The 4,333-nt window shown below is 43.0% G+C and overlaps 1 pseudogene; it reads right to left on the reverse strand.

The window, feature by feature from the left end:
• DRAXINP1 (dorsal inhibitory axon guidance protein pseudogene 1) lies at positions 300 to 1,515 on the reverse strand (annotated as a pseudogene).

Raw genomic sequence — 4,333 nt, forward strand, 5'->3', positions numbered from 1 at the left:
CTACTTGAAAAGGTCGTTGTGATAATTCAATGAGGTAAGGTAGTCCAGCGCTGAGCATAGTGCCTGGTCCATAGGAGGTGTTCCATATTTATCTCCAGCCCGTGGACCTTCTTTCGGGAAGTTTAAATTTCTTTTCCACTCTCAAAATGGCCTCTTGGTTTTGAACTTGAAGCTGTTGTAGTGCTGCAGTCGGACAGTAGAGGGCAATCTCGGTATTGCCATCGCGGAGAGCGCGACACCAGGCTGTGTGGGTCCGGACTGAGAGTGCGCCGGTGCTGCCGGCCAGCACCTGGGTACCCGGCCAGCACCTGGGTACCCACCCAGCTCGCTTACTTAGCAGCACCCCTTCCGGGGTCGAGAGTCCTGGGCCTGAGCCTGCAGCCTCGGCCATCTGGTCCCTCACTTGATCTCCCACTGCTAGTTATAAACAAATCTTGTGCAAACCTCCCGGGCTCATCCGCAGTCCCGCGGAGCGGCTAGACGTTGATGAAGGATCCCTGGTCGCCTTTGGCCGTCTCGGGCTCCAGGCAGCGCCCCTTCCTCTGTGTGACGTGAGGTTCTGGTGGAATTTGGCATAGCAGCGCAACCCTCCAGGAAGTCTTGGTGATGGTCGCACGGTTCCCCTTCTGCTGATGATGTTTCGTTACTGTCACTGGAGAGTTTACCCTGGTTTTTCTTTCTTCTTTGCAGAGGGCCCGCCATCAGGTTTTAAGTCTTCATAATCGGTCCAGTCGAACAAGGCCACGTCCAGTGTGGGTATCACCTCCCCGTCAGGCCTGCGCTGTGCCTGGGGCCGCAGGGGGGCGATGAGCAGGATCAGGGACTCTTCTGTGGCAGGTGCTGCCTCAAAGGTGGTGAGGAAGAGCATGGTGGGGGCCAGACTGGCGGAAGAATCCTCCATGGTCGCATCCAGCGCCTTGGCTTCGGAGAGCTCCGCCTTCATCAGGGAGCTGGGACCTCCGACCAAGGCTCGGCCTCGGTGCAGCCTCAGCCTGTCCCTGCGTCTCTTGTACTCCCTGCTGCGTTTCCTGGCTCTCTACCACCCTGGACACCGATTCTCCTTCTTGGGGTAGGGAAACTCGAGCCCCAGGAGCAGGTCCTTGACCCGCAGCAGGCCTGCAGGACTCTGCTCAGGCAGCGGCCCCTCAGGCCCTGGCAGCCTGTAAGCCTGCCTGGTGGCGGTGAGCACAGCCCTATCCTGGGCCTCCCTGGGCAGGCCTGAGCCCCACTCCTTCTTGCCCGGGCCCCGCTGGCGGTGGTGGCTGGCCTGAGGCGACCACAGCGCTGGGCCTGGGAGGTCGATGTGATTCTCGGGTAGATTCTGAGCAGGGGTCCCAGGTGCAAGGGCGTTTGCCAGGCTCAGCTCCAGGGGCAGCAGGAGGACTAGGACTAGGGTCGGCAGGGAGGAGGCGGAGGGGCGCCGGGCCGAGCACCCGCGGGAGCCTAGCGCAGCAGAGGGTGAGCCGCAGAGCGGGGACTGCGGGGTGGAGAGGTGCGCGGGCGGCGGGAGAATGTCAGAACTACCATTTGATCCAGCAATCCCACTACTGGGTATCTACCCAGAGGAAAAGAAAGGAAAAGAAGTCATTATACGAAAAAGATACTTGCACAAGCATGTTTGCAGCAACACAATTCGCAATTGCAAAAACAGGGAACCAACCCAAATGCCCATCAATCAACGAGTGGATAAACTGATATACATATATATATATGTTTCTTATATATATGTTTCTTTTATATATGTTTCTTATATATATATCAGTTTCTTATATATATATGATAAAAAAACTATGCAGTCATAAAAAGGAATGAATTAATGGCATTCCTAGTGACCTGGATGAGACTGGAGACTATTATTCTAAGTGAAGTAACTCAGGAATTGAAAACCAAATATCGTTATGTTCTCACTCCTAAGTGGGAGCTAAGCTATGAGGATGCAAAGGCATAAGAATGATGCAATGGACTTTGGGGACTCAGGGGGGAAGGGTGAGAAGGGGGTGAGGGATAAAAGACTGCAAATTGGTTCAGTGTATACTGCTCAGGTGATGGGTGCACCAGAATCTCACAAATCACCACTAAAGAACTTACTCATGTGACCAAACACCACCTGCTCCTCAATAACCCATGGAAATAAAATTAAAATAAATAAAAAGAAATTTAAAAAAATAAAAAAGCATTACGAAGTCAAATTCAGTAAAAGAGACACAAACATGGTTTAAAATGACCCAAAAATAACAACTTTCAAATTCTGAACACAGATAGGGATGGGGCTATTTGTTTGTTTTAGTGCCTATAGAAATTGTATTATAACCAGGCTTTTATAGTCATTTGTTGAAAAAAAAGTACAACATAAAGTGAATACACTAATCAAGGAAGCTGTATATATGCTATAAATATATACATTTTTCATATATGTCCATAGGGGAATGCCCATCATTCTGGAGAAGTTGCATGGAGCTGTTTAGTACATTTTAAACTAATTTTCCTAAAAAAAAAAAGAGAATTTCTCCTAAATTCAGACACTGCTTCATTGGTTAATTCATTTTTTAATCCATCCATTCACTCAATATCTCAGCAAATATTTATGGTGGCTTTTTTTTTTTTTCCTTTTAGTAAAGGACTATGCTAGGCCAGGCACAGTGGCTCATTGCTTGTAATCGTAGCACTTTGGGAGGCCGAGGTGGGAGAATCACTTGAGCCAGGAGTTGGAAACCAGCCTAGGCTCTGTCTCTACTAAGAATAATAGCTAAATTTAAAAAATATATTTTAAAAAAGGACTATGCTAGTTCTTTAAGGTATCCAAAGCTTATCTGACAAAAATCCCAGGCTCTGTAAATTTATAGAAGAGTGGGAAATAATTTTATCAGTAAATTATATCATTGTACTTAAAATGTTTTGATTTGGCTTTGATTCTAAGAAATGCAAGGAAATATAAAATGGTTTACATTAATTATATATTGCATATATTCATATGCAAATATTTAAATATGTATTAAAATGTATATGTGGTATATTATTCAACCTTGTTTGTGAATTTAGGAAAAAAGAGATTTGTACATTTTAAAACTTCTTTGTATGAAAAAAAATTCTGGAAACTGTAAGTGCGAGCTATCTACATTAGTGTTTCTGTGTTTGCCAAAACAGTATTACAGCCCAAAGGGGAATGGTTGAGGACAGATAACTTGACCAAATGGCCCTGGCTAAAAAAGGCGAGGAGATTGCATCAAACTCACTCCAAAAGCGAATCAAAGAATAACTTGAAACTGCTGTCACTCATTTAGATTTTGCTTCCTGGTCCTTAGTGGTAGCTGATGAGGTTTAGAAATAAGCACATGTATCTGTCTATACTGAAGGGAAGAAGATAAATCTACTATGGCACCAGTTCCAAACACTGCATGAGCAGTCGAGAGAAACAATTTACCAGATCATGCTTAATGGCAAATCAGAAATGACAGGTATGAAATGACATGTATGAAAACATCGGGCTGCAACTTGAAAATACTGGAAAATGAGTCATCTATGTTTACAGAACCAATCAGATCTTGGACTGATAACACTTTGTAAGTTGCAATTGCTGGATATCATGTATCTATGTGATCAGGACCATCTGTAATGATGAATGGCTCATGTTCACACAGCTTCAAATGCCTGATTTCTGAAATGATCAACTATTTATTAGGTGTAAGGTAAGGGCAATGATGCATATGATCTTCTCCTGTGCTTAGAGATGTTAAAATTCACTTACGGAACTACGAACATTATGACATGCAATAAAACTTCTAAACTATGTAGTAACATCCAAGGCAGGATTTTGTGGATTATGTGTTAGTAATGATATTTAAAGAGAATATTAACATTTTGTTAAGCAAATATATTAATATATTAATTATGTGATAATTTTCATTTTAAATACAATAAATTAATTTTATCGTAAGCATCTTCTTTTCTATTTACACATAAAACTCCTACAAATTCACATAATAAAAACTGATGTTTTTAATCTGTACTCAAGAATAGAGAGTCATATGTTTTATATAAAGAGAGTCTATTTCAACATGGCAAAACCGCTTCTCTACTAAAAATACAAAAATTACCTGGGCATGGTGATGCGTGCCTGTGGTCCTAGCTCCTTGGGAGTCTGAGATGGGAGGATGACTTGAGGCCAGGAGACAGAGGTTGCAGTGATCTATGATTACACCACTGCCCTCCAGCCTGGATGATAGAGCAAGACCCTGTCTCAAAATAAAATAAAATAAAATAAATAAAATAAAATAAAATAAAATAAATAAAATAAAATAAAATAAATAAAATAAAATAAAATAAAATAAAATAA

Source organism: Homo sapiens, chromosome X, assembly GCF_000001405.40.
Source record: "Homo sapiens chromosome X, GRCh38.p14 Primary Assembly".
In the NCBI taxonomy this organism is placed as follows: Eukaryota; Metazoa; Chordata; class Mammalia; order Primates; family Hominidae; genus Homo; species Homo sapiens.